General features: G+C 44.4%; 1 long non-coding RNA gene and 6 other non-coding genes across 7 annotated transcripts, besides 4 other annotated features; 3 read left to right on the top strand and 4 right to left on the bottom strand.

Annotated features, from left to right (window-relative positions):
* The first annotated feature begins 6,269 nt into the window (after positions 1-6,269).
* TRM-CAT3-2 (tRNA-Met (anticodon CAT) 3-2) lies at positions 6,270-6,342 on the top strand. Its single transcript has one exon. It is a non-coding gene; the product is annotated as a tRNA-Met (tRNA).
* Positions 8,421-8,715: an enhancer, noted in NCBI's record as "tiled region #4538; HepG2 Activating non-DNase unmatched - State 8:EnhW". NCBI's record gives its function as "activates a minimal TATA promoter and a strong SV40 promoter by Sharpr-MPRA in HepG2 cells {active_cell/tissue: HepG2}" and the evidence as "EXISTENCE:reporter gene assay evidence [ECO:0000049][PMID:27701403]".
* TRK-TTT3-3 (tRNA-Lys (anticodon TTT) 3-3) lies at positions 8,506-8,578 on the bottom strand. The gene has a single exon. It is a non-coding gene; the product is annotated as a tRNA-Lys (tRNA).
* Positions 9,130-9,689: an enhancer, noted in NCBI's record as "H3K27ac-H3K4me1 hESC enhancer chr6:28917695-28918254 (GRCh37/hg19 assembly coordinates)". NCBI's record gives its function as "activates a minimal SCP1, AML or CMV promoter by ChIP-STARR-seq in naive H9 embryonic stem cells {active_cell/tissue: H9 hESC(naive)}" and the evidence as "EXISTENCE:reporter gene assay evidence [ECO:0000049][PMID:30033119]".
* On the bottom strand, positions 14,960-15,032 carry TRM-CAT3-1 (tRNA-Met (anticodon CAT) 3-1). Its single transcript has one exon. It is a non-coding gene; the product is annotated as a tRNA-Met (tRNA).
* Positions 15,033-15,068: 36 nt separating this feature from the next.
* Positions 15,069-15,823, bottom strand: LINC01556 (long intergenic non-protein coding RNA 1556). Its single transcript, NR_103538.1, has one exon. It is a non-coding gene; the product is annotated as a long intergenic non-protein coding RNA 1556 (long non-coding RNA).
* An 80-nt stretch (positions 15,824-15,903) lies between these two features.
* Positions 15,904-15,985, top strand: TRL-AAG2-2 (tRNA-Leu (anticodon AAG) 2-2). Its single transcript has one exon. It is a non-coding gene; the product is annotated as a tRNA-Leu (tRNA).
* Positions 17,639-18,208: an enhancer, noted in NCBI's record as "H3K27ac hESC enhancer chr6:28909176-28909745 (GRCh37/hg19 assembly coordinates)". NCBI's record gives its function as "activates a minimal SCP1, AML or CMV promoter by ChIP-STARR-seq in naive H9 embryonic stem cells {active_cell/tissue: H9 hESC(naive)}" and the evidence as "EXISTENCE:reporter gene assay evidence [ECO:0000049][PMID:30033119]".
* On the top strand, positions 17,935-18,006 carry TRQ-CTG1-3 (tRNA-Gln (anticodon CTG) 1-3). Its single transcript has one exon. It is a non-coding gene; the product is annotated as a tRNA-Gln (tRNA).
* Positions 18,450-18,554, bottom strand: TRL-CAA1-2 (tRNA-Leu (anticodon CAA) 1-2). The gene is made up of 2 exons: positions 18,517-18,554; positions 18,450-18,494 (listed from the first exon to the last, which is right to left on the bottom strand). It is a non-coding gene; the product is annotated as a tRNA-Leu (tRNA).
* Positions 18,780-19,349: an enhancer, noted in NCBI's record as "NANOG-H3K27ac hESC enhancer chr6:28908035-28908604 (GRCh37/hg19 assembly coordinates)". NCBI's record gives its function as "activates a minimal SCP1, AML or CMV promoter by ChIP-STARR-seq in naive H9 embryonic stem cells {active_cell/tissue: H9 hESC(naive)}" and the evidence as "EXISTENCE:reporter gene assay evidence [ECO:0000049][PMID:30033119]".

The following is a 21,650-nucleotide window of genomic DNA, read 5'->3' as shown; positions in this document are numbered from 1 at the left end:
ATAGTGTTTCCCCAAACTGGTGAACCAGTTGCTGTTGCTGTTCAACTTTTTAGGGAGCCAACTGAGACATAGCCATACCAAACCTTTCCACCCCCACAAAAAAAAAATCCAACAATTATATAATAAATGCATGTATTACTTTGACATCAAATTTTAAAAATAGATGTTTGAAATTATATATTATTCTGCAATATTTGTTTCTCCATTGCAAAACTGTTATTACTTAAACAAAACAATAATGGTGTGTCCAGAATTGGTAGGTTCTTGGTCTCACTGACTTCAAGAATGAAGCCACGGACCCTCACGGTGAGCATTACAGCTCTTAAGGTGGTGGGTCTGGAGTCTGCCCCTTCTGATGTTCAGATGTGTTCGGAGTTTCTTTCTTCTGGTGGGTTCGTGGTCTCACTGGCTCAGGAGTGAAGCTGCAGACTTTCATAGTGAGTGTTACATCTCTTAAGGTAGCGCATCTGGAGTTGTTTGTTTTTCCCAGTAGGCTCGTGGTTTTGCTGGGCTCAGGAATGAAACTGCAGATCTTCACGGTGAGTCTTACAGCTCACAAAAGCAGCATGGACCCAAAGAGTGACCAGTTGCAAGATTTATTGCAAAAAGCGAAAGAACAAAGCTTCCACAATGTGGAAAGGAACCCGAGAGGATTGCCAATGCTGGCTCGGGCAGCCTGCTTTTATTCTCCTATCTGGCCCCATCCACATCCTGCTGATTGGTAGAGCCCAGTGGCCTGTTTTGTCAGGGCGCTGATTGGTGCGTTTACAATCCCTGAGCTAGATACAAAGGTTCTCCACCTCCCCAACAGATTAGTTAGATACAGAGTTTTGACACACAGGTTCTCCAAGGCCCCACCAGAGCAGCCAGAGTGTCGATTGGTGCACTCACAAACCTTGAGCTAAACACAGGGTGCTGATTGGTGTGTTTACAAATCTTGAGCTAGATACAGAGTGCCGATTGGTGTATTTACAATCTCTGAGCTAGACATAAAGGTTCTCCACATCCTCACCAGAGCAGCTAGATACAGAGTGTCGATTGGTGCACTCATAAACCTTGAGCTAAACACAGGGTGCTGATTGGTGTGTTTACAAACCTTGAGCTGGATACAGAGTGCCGATTGGTGTATTTACAATCCCTGAGCTAGACATAAAGGTTCTCCACGTCCTCACCAGAGCAGCTAGATACAGAGTGTCGATTGGTGCACTCACAAACCTTGAGCTAAACACAGGGTGCTGATTGGTGTATTTACAATCCTGAGCTACATATAAAGACTCTCCACATCCCCACCAGACTCAGGAGCCCAGCTGGGTTCACTTAGAGGATCCTGCACCGGGGCTGTAGGTGGAGCTGGCTACCAGTCCTGCGCCCTGTGCTCGCATTTCTCAGCCCTTGGGTGGTCCATGGGACTGGGCACCATGGAGTAGGGGGTGGTGCTCGTCCGGGAGGCTCGGGCCGCACAGGAGCCCATGGAGTGGATGGGAGGCTCAGGCATGGTGGGCTGCAGGTCCCGAGCCCTGCCCCGTGGGAAGGCAGCTAAGGCCCAGCGAGAAATCGAGCACAGCACTGGTGGGCTGGCACTGCTGGGGACCCAGTACACCCTCCGCAGCCACTGGCCCAGGTGCTAAGTTCCCTATTGCCCGGGGCCAGCAGGGCTGGCTGGCTGCTCCGAGTGCGGGGCCCACCAAGCCCACGCCCACCCGGAACTCCAGCTGGCCGGCAAGCGCCGCACACAGCCCCGGTTCCCGCTCGTGCCTCTCCGTCCACACCTCCCTGCAAGCTGAGGAAGTGGACCCCAGCCTTGGCCAGCCCAGAAAGGGGCTCCCACAGTGCAGTGGGGGGGCTGAAGGGCTCCTCAAATGCCACCAAAGTGGGAGCCCAGGCAGGGGAGGTGCCGAGAGCAAGCGAGGGCTCTGAGGACTGCCAGCATGCTGTCACCTCTCAATAGGAGTAGTTAATAATGGCAATTAGAAGTAATTTATAATAGGACTAATTACATAAATAATATGTTTGGGAAAAATATAACAATATGTTTTTAGTATTTCTATCTGTTCTCTTATGTAGTGATTTATTTTAACTTTTTAAAACTATTGGATATTTAAGTCTCATAGGCTATATTATTTCAACTTTAAGGCGCATTAATAAATGAAAAACATAAATACAAAAACGTAAAATACAACAAGAATGTAAAAGAAGAACATAACTACAATAAAACTACTTAAGCAGATATTACCTATATTTAATAAAAAATAATGACATTTCTTTCTGTCGCATGAAACAATCGAGTATCTTTACCCTTTCTGTTTCTTTTTCCAATATTCTTTCTGTGACCTGTCTGCAACATTTAAGACATCTTTATTTTCTTTTATATAGTGGTAATACTGAATACAGTCAAAGGTAAAATTCACTTTGAATTGCAGCTCTGCTCTTATCAAGCCCATATTACTTAGATTCCTGGTATCATTCTAGTGTGATAAAATCACACTAAATATCCTCTCAACAAAAGCATTTGAGCATTGAATACTCGGTATTTTACTTACTAGCAATAGCAGACTGTTGCAGCGAGCTGAGATCGCACCACAGCACTCCAGCCTGGGCAACAGAGGGAGACTCCATCTCAAAAAAATTAATAAATAAAATGAAATAAATAAATGATAAATTTGGGAAACAAAGCTTGGATTCCAAATAAATTGTATTTTTAGCAAGAGATTGATAAAGTCCTATTTAACTTGCATTCTGAAGCAGTCTTTTTTTTTTAAAAAAAGAATCTTTTCTTAGTGTATGAATCTTTATGTCACAATCTACATAACATAACATTGTTAAAATTAATGGGAGGCTATTGTTTTGGAATGAACTCCTGCATTAGGCTCCAACAGACCAGACCAAACCAGAAGGGAGCCCTTTGTGCAGGGTGCCAAGTAATCAAACTGAAATTTAAAACAGGCCAGTTTTCCAAAAAACAGGAGATTCACAATAACCAGTAGAAAAGGGTCCAGACTACCTCAGCCAGCATGTTAAGGAAGTATCCTCTGCTTTAACCTTACAAGGACAGTCACTTTGTAATTACCAATCCACCTATTGTTCCTTGTTTGTAGTTTCTTCAGCCTTTTCTACCTATAACCTCATCTCCTCGTCAGAGCACCTTCCTATTTTGTAGATGAGATGCTGCCTGATTCATGAATTGCCAATAAAAGTTGATCTGATCTTTAACCTAAGTGTGTTGAAATTTTGTTCTTCGACAACGTCAAACAAATGAAAGTATAAATTTCTGTTTTACGGTAGTTCTTTTCTCCATTCTCACTCTTAAAATATTGTCAAATTAGAGAATAGCATTCCTCTTGTCCCACATTTTGAAAATATGATTTTACACCAAGTAAACATTTTAACATCTATCCTATGGCCAGCAATAATTATAGTCAACTTTAGACATTTCTAAGGAGGCTACCTCCTTTCGTTTCTATAAAGTGAAAATTCTTATTGTTTCTGCACATTTTGAGGAAACTAAAAAGTGACCATAAATCTCATTAAGCCATGAAAGCCTCAATATCACCAGTAAACAAATCACAATCCTTCTTAGCAGTGTTGTTTGTTTTGTTTTGTTTTGTTTGAGACGGAGTTTCGCTCTTGTTGCCCAAGCTGGAGTGCAATGGTACGATCTCGGCTCACTGCAACCTCTGCCTCTGGGGTTCAAGTGATTCTCCTGCCTCAGCCTCCCGAGTAGCTGGGATTACAGGCATGTGCCACCACACCCCGTTGATTTTTTGTATTTTTAGTAGAAACGGGGTTTCACCATGTTAGCCAGGCTGGTCTCAAACTCCTGACCTCAGGTGATCCACCAGCTTTGGCCTCCTAAAGTGCTGGGATTACAGGCGTGAGCCATCACGCCCGGCCTCTTAGCAGTGTTGTGAACAACATGTGCAGAACACGTCACATGTAAGATCTTTTCATTTTCTTTGGTAGAAAGTTTATAGTCTGAATGGAATTTGCCAAAATTTACATTTGCACTGTCTGCCAAATATGCAGATAGATGAGCAAGATCTAACTTGTAGTTGACCAACATATCAATGATTGTTTATGCTTCAAGTGGTTTCATTAAGTCTTCATGCATACCAGGAAAGATGATTTTCAACATCATGTTTCAAATCAAAGTATGTAAGAGCTAAGGGAAACTTTTTTTTTAATGGTTGAGGTGGATTTGACACATCATTATGTTGTAGAGAGCAAGGTCGTCTGATAGAATCAGCTGTACACTGCAAGAGACCAATATGTGGTATCAGAATTTCCTCTTGTTCACCCACGAGATGCAACCTCTGAATCAGGAAATAGAGTAATTAAGGAAGCCATAAAATAATGCGTGTTCTTTTCTAATATTCTGCCCAATACCATTTTCTTTTATTTAATTTTAACTTTTTTTAAGGTCTCCTTGTAAGCAAGCCCAATGCTATTCTCTACAGAGCGCTGGTGTCACTTTTGGGAGACAAAAACACTTTTGATTGGTTCAGAAGTTCTTGCCTGTCTCATCCCAGACTTGAGAGATGCCGTCTCCCTGTGTACTTTCACATCCAAATCTGTTTTGAATATTGCGTAGTATGCTCCGTTTTGATTATTTATTCTCCAAATCCGGTTGTATGTGTCCTTCTATCTGTCATTGAAGTAACAGTCTACTTAGACTTTTTCAGTGCTATCTGGGTTATGCTGGCGTTCGCATGATAATCGTTCTCGTTTTCGTTATCTAAACTCTAAAAATCTGGCCATAATATTCACAATGTTAAAAATTAAACTAAGGCCGGGCGCGGTGGCTCAGGCCTGTAATCCCAGCACTTTGCGAGGTCGAGGCGGGCGGATCACTTGAGGTCAGCAGTTCCAGAATAGCCTGGCCAACATGGTGAAACCCCGTCTCTACTAAAGATACAAAAAATTAGCCGGGCGTGGTGGTGCAGGCTTGTAATCCCAGCTACTCGGGAGGCTGAGGCAGGAGAATCGCTTGAACCCTGGAGGCAGCTGTTGCAGTGACCCAAGATCACGCCGTTGCCCTCCAGCCTGGGCGACAAGAACGAAACTCCGTCTCAAAAAAAAAAAAAAAAATTAAACTAGCAATACAAACTAGCACTATGTAGACACAACAGTCTACAGTCAAAGACCGAGTGCTACGGTCACGGCTGAAAACGGTAACATCGCGCATTTAAGTCGCCTCACTCAGAGCGATGCACGGTGCAAGGTTGTCACCATCAGCGGACAGGGGAAAAACGGCGACAACTACAAAAGTGGGATAACCTAAACCCTATTATCCATTGGCAATAAAATCAGTGTTGCTTTCGGCCCTGGGGCAGGGGTGGGAACAAGGATGGGGTTGTCACTTTTTGTGTGTATATATTCTCTCCAACCTATCGCCAAAAACCGAAAGCCCGGACTTTTCACATCCCAGGTAGGGTTTTCCTGGGAAGTGGGTCTTTGAGTGCTAAACTCCAGACAATCCCCTGGCAAACAAAGACAGTGGAGAAGACAAGCTTTTCACCCCTTCCTGCTATTACTACCGTTCTCACATCCTAGCAGATGCCCAAGAGTTTGCACCAAGAGCGCCATATTCTTTACCCCATGAAGTTGCATTTGTCCAAATCCCTTTGGACTTCCTCAAGACCGAGACGGAGACGTGATTGGGGAAGACTGCAGTGGGTTGAAAAGCCAGTGGGACTTAGGGAGGTATTTTTTTAAAACAGACGGCCTTACAAGGAGTTTGCTGTACATTAAGACGGCCTTACAAGAAGTTTGCTGTACATTAAGACGGCCTTACAAGACGTTTGAGCACATGAGATAGCGACAGGTGGAGACGCCTGTCAAAGGACATTGTTTTGTTGTTTAAGATAGTAAACGCTTCAATGCTTCCGGATGGGAAACACCGGATCACTTTTCCTGCGGGAAAGAACCGGTATGGAGGGAGAGAGAAAAACAGGCCGTTTTCCTGATCTCTCCAGACAAAATGGATGGACGCCCGTGCAGGTTAATTGTCAGGTTTCTGGACAGGACGTTTTGGAAATTTTCCACCTAAGGTGAGAAGTGGGGGGTCATCAGTTCAGAATAAGAGGGGCAAAAGCAGCGGGATCAGCAGCGACTTTCTTCATCTGATTCAGGTTTTGGAAGCTGGTGAGCTTTGAGAAGTTTCATAAGAATATTTTATTTTAGAAATTTAAAATAAAGGTAATGTAGACAAAAATGTTTAAATAAGGTAAAAATCAGTGTTGAAAACACCTGCTGAGGAGCACTAGTTGTCTGCCTCCTTAGCGCAGTAGGCAGCGCGTCAGTCTCATAATCTGAAGGTCCTGAGTTCGAACCTCAGAGGGGGCAGCTGCCATTTTGTCCCCAACTTCCACAAATAACCCTATTTGTTCAGTATACAATTATCTCTATAATTGCCGGGCCCGGCATATGTTGTCAGACAGACGAAGTCTCAGCTCTCTTTGTCCCGACGGCTTATCAAGTTCTAGTAAATCTCTTTTAGTTCTTCTTATGAGTATCATCTCTTTCCAGTGGGCTTGCTGTTTTCTCCGAGTTCTTCTGACCTCAATTCCCTCGTGGGACAGTATCCTTCTACTGGTGCAACTTAATTTATTGAAAAAATGAATAGACAGATGAAAACCTGATATTCAATTTGTTGTGGCAGCCCTAGGAAACCAACACACCATCCCTTCTTTCACTCACCAACCTCCCATCACATCAACCTCAAGCTGTTTTATTTTCTTCATAGAATTTTTTACTATATAAAGTTTCCTTGTTCTTTTATTTTTTAACGTTTTTATTGTCTGTTGCCCACCCATCCTCCTAGACTGTAAATTCCGTTAGAGACTGAATTTGTTTTATCCAGTTCTATATTTTCAGTGCCTAGCACGGTATCTGATAAACAAGTATTTCTCAAATCAATCATTTAATTTGCATATTAAATGTTATGGTTTTCTTTCCATGCTTCTTGTCACTATCTTATTCCACACAATCAACATCTCAAACTTAGATTACTTGCAATCATCACCCCAGCAGTTACACATACTGAAATTCATCTTGCAGGCTATACCTCTCTGGCCCAGTCCGTGCTGCAAAAAGAGAGGGCTCTCCTCCAACATGTCTGGACCTCAGGGGTCTGTATTTCAGGACAGCTCTCTTAACAGTTCATTCTGTTGCCGACTTAAGGAAGCGTTTTATAGGGAACATCTTAACAATTTCGTCTGGACCCTAGGCCTCTGGTTCCAGGAGCCTGCATCTACCACAGTTAAGGAAATGCTGTTAAAGATTTGGGAGAAGCCTAAGAGCTGGGTTGTCTGGCTGTTCAGGCAGCTCTCCAGAGACTGCTTTATCCTTATTGGAGCCATCACAATTCAGAGTCTGTTCCTCTCCTTTGCAGAATCAGACACTATTTTTATTTTATTTACTTATTTGTATTATTTATTTTGAGTCTCCCTCTGTCTACCAGGATGGAGTGGAGCCGTGCGATCTCGGCTCGCTGCAACCTCTGCCTCCCTGGTTCAAGCTATTCTCCTGCCTCAGCCTCCCAAGTAGCTGGGATTATAGGCGCGTACCACCACTCTCGGCTAATTTTTGTATTTTTAGTAGAGACTGTTTCAGCATGTTGGCCCGGCTGGTCTCGAACTCCTGACCGCAGGTGATCTGCCCGCCTCGGACTCCCAGAGTGCTGGGATTACAGGCGTGAGCCACCGCGCCCCGTCAGAAATTATTTTTATGTATTTTTATTTTTATTTTTTGTGACGGAGTCGCTCTGTCGCCCAGGCTGGAGTGCAGTGGCGCAATCTCGGCTCACTGCAAGCTCTACCTCCCGGGTTCACGCCCTTCTCCAGCCTCAGCCTCCCGAGTAGCTGGGACTACATGCGCCCGCCACCACGCCCAGCTAATTATTTTTGTATTTTTAGTAGAGACGGGGTTTCACCGTGTTGGCCAGGATGGTCTCGAGATCCGCCCGCCTCGGCCTCCCAAAGTGCTGGGATTACAGGCGTGAGCCACAGCGCTCGGCCGGAAACTATTTTTAAATTCACCTAGAGTTTTTAAGACTTGCAGGGCTGACTCACGGTAACTAAATGCCAGAAATATGCCAAGCCAGAATATGAACATATTATAACTTTCTTGATAATTGATCAGTATATTCCCTCCTACGTAAAATAAACTCTGCACTGGAAAGCAAGTAACAACAGAAGATTACTTTGGCACCTGTAAGCAGAGTAACAGGAATCATAAAATATTAAATACTTCGTATTCTAAGGTTGTCCTTAAATGTTAGTTTTCTTCAGAAAATCTGGGGCTATCTCACTGTAGAGGGCCCATGTATTCACCTTACTACTTTTATTTGGCATCAGAGTTACTCGCCTATTCGTGGTTTAAAATTTGGGGTTCTACAGGGTTTGGTGAATTTTTGCAGTATATGAAATCTGTCCCTATAAAACGATAGTATCCTTTTTGGCTTTTTCAAACATGATACCAGAATCAGGTACTAAAAGCCACCACTCCCGCCCGAACAGGGACTTGAACCCTGGACCCTCAGATTAAAAGTCTGATGCTCTACCGACTGAGCTATCCGGGCTCCCTGCAAAAGCCTTCTTCCTGCACATTCTAGTGAGTAAAAAGGTGCAGAAACTTGATATCGTCCAACTTAAATCCTATCCATGTTCCTTTTCTTTATTCCCATCTATGCTTTTGCCCACTTTGAATATGGCTCACAGTTATTTTTGTCCCCAACTCATGGAAAAAATTAACTCCCATCTTTGTGTAATGTACTCCAAACAATTACTTGTAAAAGCAATGTATAACTACAGACGTAATCGCCGGGTTTGTCTTGTCTTTAGTCTTCAAAGGTTATGCTCCAGTCTTCCCTGCGACCTTAAGAACACCTGGCACACGGGCGCGGTGGCTCACGCCTGTAATCTCAGCACTTTGGGAGGCCGAGGCGGGCGATCACAAGGTCAGGAAATCTAGACCATCCTGGCCAACATGGTGAAACCTCGTCTCTACTAAAATACAAAAAAATTAGCCGGGCGTGGTGGCGCACGCCTGTAGTCCCAGCTACTCGGGAGGCTGAGGCAAGGGAATCGCTTCAACCCGGGAGGCGAAGGTTGCAGGGAGCCGAGATCTTGCCTCTGCACTTCAACCTGGTGACAGAGTGAGACTCCAGAAAAAAAAAAAATAGGTTTTGAGAACTTATTTTGAGCAAGGCTCTCAGCTTTGCCCCGGGTTTCCTGCAGTGGAGAAGTACTACTGAGAGGTGACAGCGTGCTGGCAGTCCTCACAGCCCTCGCTTGCTCTGGGCGCCTCCTCTGCCTGGGCTCCTACTTTGGCGGCACTTGAGGAGCCCTTCAGCCCACCACTGCACTGTGGGAGCCCCTTTCTGGGCTGGCCAAGGCCGGAGCCCACTCCCTCAGCTTGCAGGGAGGTGTGGAGAGAGAGGCGCGAGCGGGAACCGGGGCTGCATGCGGCGCTTGCGGGCCAGCTGGAGTTCCGGGTGGGCGTGGGCTTGGCGGGCCTCGCACTCGGAGCAGCCGGCAGGCCCTGCCGGCCCCGGGCAATAAGGGACTTAGCACCCGGGCCAGCGACTGCAGAGGGTGTACTGGATCCCCCAGAGGTGCCAGCCCACCGGCGCTGCGCTCGATTTCTCGCCGGGCCTTAGTTGCCTTCCCGCGGGGCAGGCTTCGGGACTGCAGCCTGCCATGCCTGAGCCTTCCCCCGCCTCCGTGGGTTCCTGTGCAGCCCGAGCCTCCCCGACGAGCGCCGCCCCCTGCTCCACGGCACCCAGTCCCATCGACCACCCAAGGGATGAGGAGTGCGAGCGCATGGCGTGGGGTTGGCAGGCAACTCCACCTGCAACCCCGGTGCGGGATCCACTGGGTGAAGCCAGCTGGGATCCTGAGTCTGGTGGGGACGTGGAGAATCTTTATGTCTAGCTCAGGGATTGTAAATACACATATCGGCACTCTGTATCTAGCCCAAGGTTTGTAAACACACCAATCAGCACCCTGTGTCTAGCTCAGGGTTTGTGAGTGCACCAATCGACACTGTATCTAGCGGCTCTGGTGGGGCCGTGGAGAACCTGTGTGTCAAAACTCTGTATCTAACTAATCTGGTGGGGACGTGGAGAACCTTTGTATCTAGCTCAGGGATTGTAAATGCACCAATCAGCACCCTGTCAAAACAGGCCACTCGGCTCTACCAATCAGCAGGATGTGGGTGGGGCCAGCTAAGAGAATAAAAGCAGGCTGCCGGAGCCAGCATCCACAACCCGCTCGGCTCTTCTTCCATATTGTAGAGTGTTGTTTTTTTTTTTGCTCTTTGCAATAAATTTTGCGACTGGTTACTGTTTGGGTCCACATTGCTTTTATGAGCTGTAAGACTCACCGTGAAGGTCTGCAGCTTTTTTCCTGAAGTCAGCGAAAGCGCAAGCCCAGCAGGAAGAGCGAACAATTCCAGACGTGCTGTCTTAAGAGCTGTAATACTCTCTCCGAAGGTTTGCAGTTTCACTCCTGAGTTAGCGAGACCACGAACCCACCAGAAAGAAGAATACTCCTAACACATGGGAACATCAGAAGGAACAAACTCCAGACACGTCACGTTAAGAGCTGTAACACTCACCGCGAGGGCCCGTGGCTTCATTCTTGAAGTCAGTGAGATCAAGAACCCACCAATTCGGGACACACTACCTCAGCCCTTGGGGCGTTCATATTTTACAAGTGAAAAGCAGCCGTTAAACGACAAATTACACTGTTTAAACAGTCACTGTAACACATGCTCTTGAGAAAACGTTCAGGTTACAAAATGTTGAGGAAAAACAAGCAAAATCTCATGACCTTACTTTGCAAATTAAACGAGATAATGTAAGCAAACGCTTGGTGACATTTCCATGAAAATTAGGTGTTATCACAATTATTCTTATTGTAAAGTGGATCATTTAGAACACTGTATTTTAACCATTTTGCTTGTGCCACTTTAGACAAGTTTGTTAATCTCTTGACCACTTTAATCTCACAGCAGAAATCCCTCAAAGGCTAGGTCTAGCACAATGGTTGTCATGTGGTACATTTCTGATCGTGCATTTATTTATGCTACTATTGAAAAACAGATTCGAGGTTATTTACACAACTATACTGTAAGATAAAGTGAAAAATGTTAATTTAAATCAAGATAAAGGGAACATAGAGAAAAGTAAGGTGAGACAAAATAATGCACACTGTAAATCGCACACTGTAAATCACACCCTGCCCTCTATCTTCAAGAGCATGGATTATAAAGGGAGATGACCTCTTCCAGGGGATTAGAGAAGACTTCTCCCAGGAAGTGATGTTTAAACTGAAAACTAAAGGCCTAGTTGGACAAAAATGTGATTCCAGCATTCCAGGGAGATTAAAGAGCAGAACACTTCCAGACACCTGAGAGAAGGCCTGAGCAGCTTGTGTACAGAGAGCTCAAGAGAGTGTTCATGAAGGTGGGGTCTGAGGTGGACAGGAAGGCAGGGACAGACCAGTGACTCACAGGCTCAGAGGTTATGGCTAGTAGTGCAGAGAGCTGACTGCACCCTAGCAGCAATGTGAAGCCACTGGGAATTCTAAGCAGGAAGAAATGACATGATGAGATTACTTTTAAGAGTACACTGGCTTTATGTAAAGAATGAGTCAGAATGGAGGAAGAGGTGATGCAAAAACATAAATTAGGCCATTGTGCAGAAGAAGGCCATCGAGACATGGCAGTGGGGAGGAATGATGCAGAGAAACTGGGGAACAGCTAGAAGAAAGAAAACTTGGGCCCAGACTGCCCCTGGGAACCTGGAGGGCAGGAGGTGTCAAGATGTCTCAGCTGCTTATTTACCAAGAAAAGCTCTTTACAGGGAAAGGCAGAAATAAAGCAAAACAGGGCGAGGCCAGTGGCTCCCACCTGTAATCCCAACATTTTGGGAGGCAGAGGTGGGCAAATCAATTGTGGTCGGGAGTTCCAGACCAGCCTGGCAAACATGATGAAACCGCATCTCTACTAAAAACACAAAAATGAGCCAGGTGTGGTGGTGCATGACTGTAGTCCCAGCTACCTCAAGGGTCTGAGGCAAAATAATCACTTGAACCTGGGAGGCAGAGGTTGCAGTGAGCCGAGATCACACCACTACACTCCAGCCTGGGTGACAGAGCAAGACTCCATCTCAAAAAAAAAAAAAAAGAAAGAAAGAAAAAAGAAAAATTAGAAATAAAGCAGAATAGGAAATGGCACCTTGTAGCTTTTGAGAGTTCTCTGGGAAGCATAGAACATTTATTCTGCTCTTGATGAGGCAAGTGCTCCTAGTTTTAACCAGTAAGCAAGCCCTGGATGACTAAACAAAAATGAGGAGAATTTTGGGAGGAAATGATCTCTCCAGAGACGGTCAACATAGGATAAATGAATATAGGCCGAGTAAGTCCTTGACTGGGGCTTCCAAAATGTTGCCACACTGATGGCATTCAAATCTCCTGGAGTCACTGTTAAAAACTCAGATTCAGGCCAGTTGCAGTGGCTCACACCTGTAATCCCAGCACTTTGGGAGACCCAGGTGCATGGATCATCTGAGGCCAGGAGATCGAGACCAGCCTGACCAACATGGAGAAACCACATCTCTACTAAAAACACAAAATTAGCCGGGCGTGGTGGCGCATGCCTGTAATCCCAGCTACTCCAGAGGCTGAGGCAGGAGAATCGCTTGAACCAGGAGGTAGAGGTTGCCGTGAGCCGAGATCGTGCCATTGCACTCTAGCCTGGGCAACAAGAGTGAAACTCCATCTCAAAAAAAAAAAAAAGATTCACAGATTCTATCTCAGACTCATGAATCAGAATATTCTCAAGGTCTGGCTGACCTCCACAACTTAAATCACTGTTGTCTTTTCTCTCCCCTATGCAGCGAATTCCCTCTCTGAACATGATCATGACCTCTGAGACCCTGCATGATCTATGTGCATCCTGTAGGGTCTATGTGTATCTAACCCCCTCATCTCCTATCAAGTTCTCCCTTGTTTACTGACCTACAGCTGCACTAGTCTCCTCCTTCGTTCCTTGAACATGCCAATGGCATTCCTGCCAAGCCTTTTGTAATTACTGTTCCCTTGGCCTGAAATTCTCTTCTCCCTGATAGCCTCACAGCTCACTCACTCACTTCCTTCAAGTCTCTGTTCAGATGCCTCCTTATCAGGAAGGCCTCCTTGGTCACCCTTTATTATAAAGCAATCCCCTCCCCTTTGTTCTCCATTCTCTTGCTCTTTTCCTTCATGGCATGTATCACTACTTCACATTTTATATATCTGGTTGAATTTATTCTTTATCATTCCCCACTAAAATGTAAACTCCATGAGAGCAGAAGCTTTTTCTGTTGTGTGGAGTGCTATCCCTGCACCCCCTATGTGTGGTTCAGGGTCTAGTTAAGAAATAAGGCTGGGCACGGTGGCTCACATCTGTAATCCCAGCGCTTTGGGAGGCCGAAGCGGGCAGATCACTTGAGGTCAGGAGTTCAAGACCAGCCTGGCCAACATGGTGAAACCCCGTCTCTGGTAAAAATACAAAAATTAGCTGGACGTCGTGGCGGGCGCCTGTAATTCCAGCTACCTGGGACGCTGAAGCAGGAGAATCGCTTGAACCCGGGAGGCAGAGGTTGCAGCGAGCTGAGATTGTGCCACTGCACTCCAGCCTGGGTGACAGAACAAGACTCTGTCTCAAAAAAAAAGGAATAAGACTAGGTATTTCAACTGGGCACACCATGGTAACTCAGAGGTGATAACTACTGGGAAGTAGCTACCACCTTGTAGGGCTGGAAGAACAAAAAGGAAGAGGTTGAGACCACTGAGGAAAGGCATCCTGGAGTGCTAAAGAGGACGCGCTGCAGCTGGACTACTACTTACTTATGTAATGGACAGTGAGACATTCTGGAATGCATGAAGAGAACAAATAGAGATGGGATTCAACTGCCATTGTTGGAGTGACCTGACAGGAAGAACAAAATTTAGAAAGCAGCCCCTGCTTCTCTCCTCTTGCTTTCTAGTCTCTTTCTGGTTCCTCTTATTGACAGAACACAAGAGGAAGCCAATGGGCAAAGGAGTTTGGGAAATATCATTTGCAGGCGCCCAGCCCCAATGTCACAAAACAAAGTATATAAGGGTGATTTTAAAGCTGAGAGGGAATGGATTAATAGGAACACAGCTTGGAACAAAGTAGGACTCAAGAGCAGGACATTAATGATCAGTCTTGCTCATTATTATTTGAGTCAGGGGCTCATCTTGACTGTAAATATCAGCCTATCTTCTTCACTTCTTGTTTCTCTTTTTACCCCTTCCTGCATCTGGTAGTTTGGATGATTTAGATCCAGTCAACAGGACTGGAAGCAAGAGAAAAGGTCCAATGCAATGAGACTGAGGGGGGAGTTTTTTGTCAGTTTTTTGTTTCCTTTCTTTTTTCATATGGAATGTTATTGGTGGCAACCTGGTGGTAAGCCATTCCAGAAGAATGGTAAAAGATAACCAAGTCAGTAATTGATAATTAGATTCTATACCTTCCACACCCCTAGTACAACCCTCCACCCACTTTTTCTTATCTCAGCACTCTAAAACTGGCAAGTTTCTTGACTCTGGTGTTGTTAAAACAAAGACAATTGCCAAGCATATCTGAAAAACATTTGAAAATGCTACCAGCTCTATCTCCAATTGGTATGCAGGGCGGGAGGGGAGATGAGAATTTTGGAGAATTTAATTCTTAGTGAAAATCACTGTTTTGTAACTGAACATGGTTCTATTAAACAGCAATTACCCGTTCTGTTCCATCAAAGCAATGTCCTTAGATTTTTTTTTCCCTTACCAGACATATTGTACACTTTTCTATAGAGAAAGCAGAGAAAGAACAACGTTTTGTCAACTTCCTTTGTTGTCTTACTCATTTTGGATCAAGAAGAAGTAAAATGGCAAAACAGACGCCTTGCCCCCTCTGAGGTTCGAACTCAGGACCTTCAGATTATGAGACTGACGCGCTGCCTACTGCGCTAAGGAGGCAACTGTCTCTCCCGCTTAACCAACGGCTCTACCAAGATGATTATGAGGCATTTTAATAAGGTTTTACGTTCTCTGAATTACAGTGTTTCAAAATAAGGCGTAACTATGATTCAATTCACTTCTAAAACACTTTGGATGACAAAACTACGTAGTACAAGGCAGGGGCCAATTCCTAAACCAACCTCGTTCTCCCACAGACCTTCCTAAGGAAACTTTAAGGGCTGCGAAGGCAATTGAGTCTGGACTTTGCGAAAGGCCTTCCTGTACGGGGCCCTGGATTTCTCATCTCATTTCTGGGCCAGGAACGAGGAGTCTTTCCCTCTATGATTAGGGCTTTCGTAGATGTACCGCCTCTGAAACGAAGACAAGACAAATAATAATGAGTTCACTCTTTTCCTCCCTTGTGAAGTTCCGTGGAGACACTCGGTCCCCTGAAGTGGATGAAGGGCGAGGGGAGGAGGTCTCAGGATTTTTCCTCGCTTTTCTTAGAAGCAACAGGCTCAAACCAAACGGTTGGCCTTGCTTACTCCTGAAGTCGAGAGGCTTACTCCCTGGAATCCAAGTGGATGTGGAGCCCATGGCGTCCTCTGGCGCTCTCGGTCTCTTCGACCCCTTTTTACTGTGTTGATGATAAATGGGGCAGGATTCCCCTCCTGCACCACCTGCAGCATCCTGTCCAGGATCCATCTGGGAGCTGAGAAGAAGCAAAGTGTCAGGGATCGGGGGTTCTCGGGCTATGCTGAGAAGCAAGGAATGCTGAAGAAGGGGCCTGAGGGAAGGGCTTATGGTGATGTGGGAATGGGAATGAAAGGACTGGAAAGGGGCGACAGTCACTTGGGTGAAACTGAAAGCGGCGACGCACCCTGTGGGTGGTAGCGTGGCCGAGCGGTCTAAGGCGCTGGATTAAGGCTCCAGTCTCTTCGGGGGCGTGGGTTCGAATCCCACCGCTGCCAGTGTGAGGTATTTTTTTTTTCCCCCTCGTCATTCTGACCCAGTAAAGTTCCATTTTCAAGCCTTGTGTGGGCAGTTCTCACAGCTTCCTAAGTGAGACAGGTTCCTCTTCTGTTTTCCTAGGGGCCACAGATAACACCCATATGTACAGTCCCACAAACGGTGCCCAAATGTTTCTCGATTTAGGGGCTCAGACATCTCGTCCCCTAGTTATTCCCTTCAGTGGCCTTCATGTGTTTTCATTCACTTTGCGAAATTTGTGAACCAACCAAGGGCAATCCTAAGGAAAAAGTACAACCTTCTTAACTCCAGACTCAAGAATAAATAAGCCACGCACGCTCATCTGCCCTATTTTCCATTGTCTTCTCCAAGGGATAAATGTGCTAAGGCTGAAAAAACAAACGAACCAACAAAAGAAACAGTCACCAGACACCTAGAGCCTTTCCCGCTTCACCTATCCTCAGAGAGCAGTTTAAGGTCCTTAGTTGAACACAGTTGAAGAGTTAGCTTTTGAGATTCTGTTATCTTCTTAAACAGTAAACATTTTTTTCTTTTTTTTTTTTAAGAAATAAGGTGGAGGCTCATAGAATAGAAAGAATAACACCTGTTTTAGGGAAGAAGGACTTGATCCGTTATTTACCTGGATCTGGGGTAGTTTAGACCATCTTTTAAGGCTAGGAGACTCGAGGAGATAGAATGGAGAGTTTTTGTGTGCAGGGAGGTGGGTAGATGCTTAGGAGCACTTTACAGTCGCCTAGGCAGAAGTCTTCTAATTTCACTGCTTCCTTCCTCACCTTCCAAAAGATGTATCCAATACATACTAATTGAGCAGATATTTTGTAACAGGCACCTTGCTTGAAAGGATGAATGCCAGCAAATGATTCCAGGGTTCCTTAGCAATTTAGTCTTGAGAGACTAGAGAGGCACATTAAGCATAGTTGACAAATAATTAATATTAAGATTGACTAAAGTAGTAATTTATATCTGAGTATTTCTTCCAGACACGCTACGTATATATGTGGTCTATTTGTTATATGTTGTTCTCACAATTACTAGATAAATAACCATGTTATCTTAATAAAGTTAAGATTTGAAAAAATGAATTACTACATCCAGCACTATAACATCCTAGTTTGGTCATCCATACTAAAGGACACCTATATGTTGGGTCATCTGGACGCTAAGATGTCCACCTGGGAGCTGGGACCTGGAAAGGCAAAAGAAGATAGGAGGAGGAGGAGAAATAATTATTCCCTTTTGAACTTGTAAAATTTAGCCTAGCAAGTGAAGGCAAAAAAGAAGTCTAAAGTCTCCCAAAAGTCTAAGCTGGGCTGTCCCACTGAGTATTCATTCATTCATTCATTCATTCATTCACTCATCCTTTCATTTATGCATTCATGCAACAAGCATTGGTTGAGCTTCTACAAAGTAGCAGACCGTGGGCTATCAAAGACTACTGAGACTCAGCCCTGCACTTAAGGCATTTTGGAGGAATGCGGGAGACAGATTTTAAAAATTTAAGCCCATGGTTACAACTGAGGGGCAGTGCCAAGATACTCGGAGGTTGTTCTAGAGGCATCTGTAGGTATCGTACAATGAATAAATAAGACTGTAGAAAGTAGATAGTATATTTTTTCTTTTCTCTCTTTTCTCCCTTTCAAACCGTGAGACTAAAATTCAATTCACCTTTTCGTGGGCTGGAAACGAAAGAAAATAAAAATCTCCAGGAATAACCATATTCCCAGATCAGTATACTGCCCTGCCCCGAAGGATGGAAAGAAATCTGGGAGAAAGGCGCGGTGGAAACAGTGTGTGAGCCCTACCCCTCCCATCCCTGCGTTTGGCCATCCAAAACAAAAAAACTGCCCCTGCAAAATTACTTTAAATCAATTAGTAAGTAGAAGACAAGAGAGACCCCAGGTGGATCGAGTATCCATTTTTTGTTAAGTAGGGTTCCATGGTGTAATGGTTAGCACTCTGGACTCTGAATCCAGCGATCCGAGTTCAAATCTCGGTGGAACCTTTCATTTCTCTCCTTTTGCCTTGTTTCCGATAACCTTGAGCGTGAACCTTGCTGCTTTCAATTTCAGTTTCATCACTTTTATTTTTGATGGTTTCTGGCCGTGAGGAAAAACATGTAATCTGCGGTCCCAATAACCTATGAGCTCAGGGCCAGTATGTAATGATGGAGTCTGTATACATGTCTTTCTATTCCTACCTAGTCTAGTTTCCTCCCAGTACGCCTCTGGGTGAGTGCTCATGTGGTAAATGAATGCGCCTTTTAACGAACTGACCAAAGCGGGGCAAAACGTGATTCACTACTAAACAGCGAACAAGACTGAAAAGCAAGGGGGCAGACCTCATTGAGAGTGTATCATTTTAGTTAGAATAAAAAAAGTTGAGGTAGAAAGAATGAAAACACAGAAATGGCTGAGAAAGTAGAGTAAAAGGAGAATAAGATAGTTGTGTCAGAAGTGGGATTCGAACCCACGCCTCCATTGGAGACCAGAATCCTCAACACGAGGAAGCCAAGCTTGAGTCTGGCGCCTTAGACCACTCGGCCATCCTGACACCTGGGACACTTACCATCGCAAATTAATATAATCTTCGATTGTAATGAATGCGTAACCAGCGTTAAGTCATTACTACGTTCGCGATTTAATGAAAGAAATGGAAAAGGAAATTCCTACAAGTGAACAAAACGTTCTATTTAAATGGAATCAGGAACCGTGACTCAGCTTGCGAGGCTCTCCTACCAATTCAGGCTAGAATTCAGCGTTTCTCGCCCTTCGCCCCCTTCTTACACTTCCCTGCACGCCCCGGGTACAGGGGCGCGAGCATCCTAACAACCCAGCCGCGACTCTGCCTTGAACAAGAAAGAACACATAGCATGACAAGAAAAAACACATATCCATGACAAGAAAGAACACATAGCACGGGGGCTGTTCCCGAGATGCTGCTTAGCAAACTAATCAAAGAGCTCAGCAGGGAAGAAATGAGCGAGGCAATGTAGACCTGAAGCGAAGCAGGAGAGTTAGCGGAGAGTGGGGGATGAGAGCGGTTCAGGGGTCTTGAACATGAAAAATGACTGTCGATGTGAGTAACAGGAGTTGACTTGGTCAGGAGTTGAAAGAGGGTGAAGTGCAGGGGTGCTAAACCAGAGTAGCATGAAGGAAGTGTCAGCACTGAGCCGAAATCCCCAGATCTCTTCCCTCACCACATTCCCAGAACTAGTCAAACAGGCTCATCTCCCCTCCCCCTACCTCTCCCAGGAGGTTGAAGGAGTATGTCAAGGGAAACTGGGATAAAGTTTTCCAGAGATAAAGAAAGACAGATGAGATATCCAAGTCAATTTACAAGGAAAAAATAAAAATTAAAACAACGACAAACACTGGTATTTGAGGATCTCCCAAAGAAATGGCTGGGTCTCCATAGAATCCCCAAAGACTCTGCAGTCTACAGGCTTGGAGCAGGTCCACAGAGCTTCCAGAATCAGGTGTTTAGTGCCTTACTTAAAATATGTACGACAACCAAGGATAATCAGGTGGTTGTGAAAATATTTCTACAATAAGACAAGGACGAATACAAACAGAAGGGGGCAGGAAGAACCTAAGAGGAAACAAATACAATGCAGGAAGTTGGATTTTTTAAAAATTATAATTAATCCTCGGGAAAGTAAGAGAAGATACTGCACTCATGAAACAAAAAGGAGGGGAGTTCTTAAAATTATTAATAATATTATGATGGCTGGATTTTTAAAAATTTCTTTTTTTTTTTTCTTGAGACGGGGTTTGGCGCTTGTTGCCCAGGCTGGAGTGCAATGATGCAATCTCGGCTCACCACAACCTCTGCCTTCCAGGTTCAAGAGATTCTTCTGCCTCCAGAGTAGCTGGGATTACAGGCATGCGCCACCACGCCCGGCTAATTTTATGTTTTTAGTTAAGACAGGGTTTCTCCATGTTGGTCTGACTGGTCTCGAACTCCCAACCTCAGGTGATCCGCCCGCCTCAGCCTCCCAAAGTGCTGGGATTACAGTTGTGAGCCACTGCGCCTGGCCTAAAATTTCAAAATAAGGTTGTAGAAATCTGGAAAGTTTGGGGTGAATGATGGAAAATAGCAAAGAATTGATAAGAAAATAAAATGGTGTATAATAGAAGATATGCCAACAAACTAACAGGGATTCTAGGAAAAGAGGAGAAAGTGGAATAAAGGAGATAAAGATGTAATATAAGATTATTTTTCAGAACCAAAGACCTTAAGTCTCCAGATTTAAAAGGCCCACCAACTACCCTGCATAGGGTGTGGCAAAGCCCCACAATAAAGCTTGTCATTGTGAAATATCAGATGAATAAAGTGAATATCCTAAATGTTTCCAGAAGGAAAACAAAACTAAAAGATTGCACAGAAAGGATTATGAATTAGAATGTCATCTTTTTTTCTCCACAGCAGCACCAACACCAAAAGCTGAAAGACAATGAGGCAATGCCTTCTAAATCATTTCAATAAAGGAAAATAGTTTCCACAACTAGATTTCTGAACCCAGCCAAACTATCAATCAAATGTGAATGGACATTTGCAGAACATTATCTCCCAAGTACCTTTTCTCAGAAAGCTTCTGGAGAATTGTCCACTAACTAGGGAATTAAACTAAGAAAAAGGAAATATGAAATCCGGTGACTGGGGACCTAACACAGAAGAAAGGTAAAGGAAAAAACTCCGGGGCAACTGCTGAGCTACCAGGCTAGAAGGCAATCAGTCTACGGTGGAATAGAAAAAAGAGGGCTAAACGAGGGTTGTTTCCAATGGGGGAAAATGGAACTGACATACTGCCTCATGCATTTGACGAGAAAATAGTGTCAGAAAGCTGGTTTTGAATTAGGAATAAATATTTAGAAAAGTAAGCAAAGAACAGGAGGCAATTATTAATCCCAGGAAGAACAAAAGGTTGTCAAAGAAGGTAATTATGGTATACCATGGAGCTCAGCTGTGAAAAATATTACAAAGTCATAATGATGAAAACCATAAATATTAATTTATTAATTTAACTAAAAATTATACATATGAGGCTGGGCACGGTGGCTCATGCCTATAATCCCAGCACTTTGGGACGCCGAGGCAGGCGGATTGCCTGAGGTCAGGAGTTCAAGACCACCCTGGCCAACATGGTGAAACCCTGTCTCTATTAAAAATACAAAAAAATAGATGGGCGTGGTGGCGGACCCCTGTATTCCCAAGCTGAGGCGCGAGAATCCCTTGAACCTGTGAGGCAGAGGTTGCAGTGAGCTGAGATGGCGCCACTGCACTCCAGCCTGGGCAACAGAGTGAAACTCCATCTCGTAATAATAATAATAATAACAAATATGAATGTATATTGCCATATTCAAAAATGTATTCAATAAATATATGTTGAATTAAGAAATGTATAAGTAAATAAATATGTCCACAAGAAGAGATTCATGAAGAGTGTAGGCATAAATATAAAGGATTCTTATGGATGTATTCTAATAATAAAATACACTATTGATTAATATATTTTCTTGAGTATTTTCTTTTTATGTCCATCAGTCTCACCTCTCTCTGCTGGGCTAAGGAAAAATTAATCTTTCCTACAAAGCTATCACTAAGACAAAGTAAAAACAGGTCAATGATAATCCCACAGAAACCTTT

Source organism: Homo sapiens, chromosome 6 (assembly GCF_000001405.40).
Source record: "Homo sapiens chromosome 6, GRCh38.p14 Primary Assembly".
Lineage (NCBI taxonomy): Eukaryota > Metazoa > Chordata > Mammalia > Primates > Hominidae > Homo > Homo sapiens.
The sequence above is the reverse complement of the archived record's forward strand: the minus strand, read 5'-3'. Positions and strand labels throughout refer to the sequence as shown.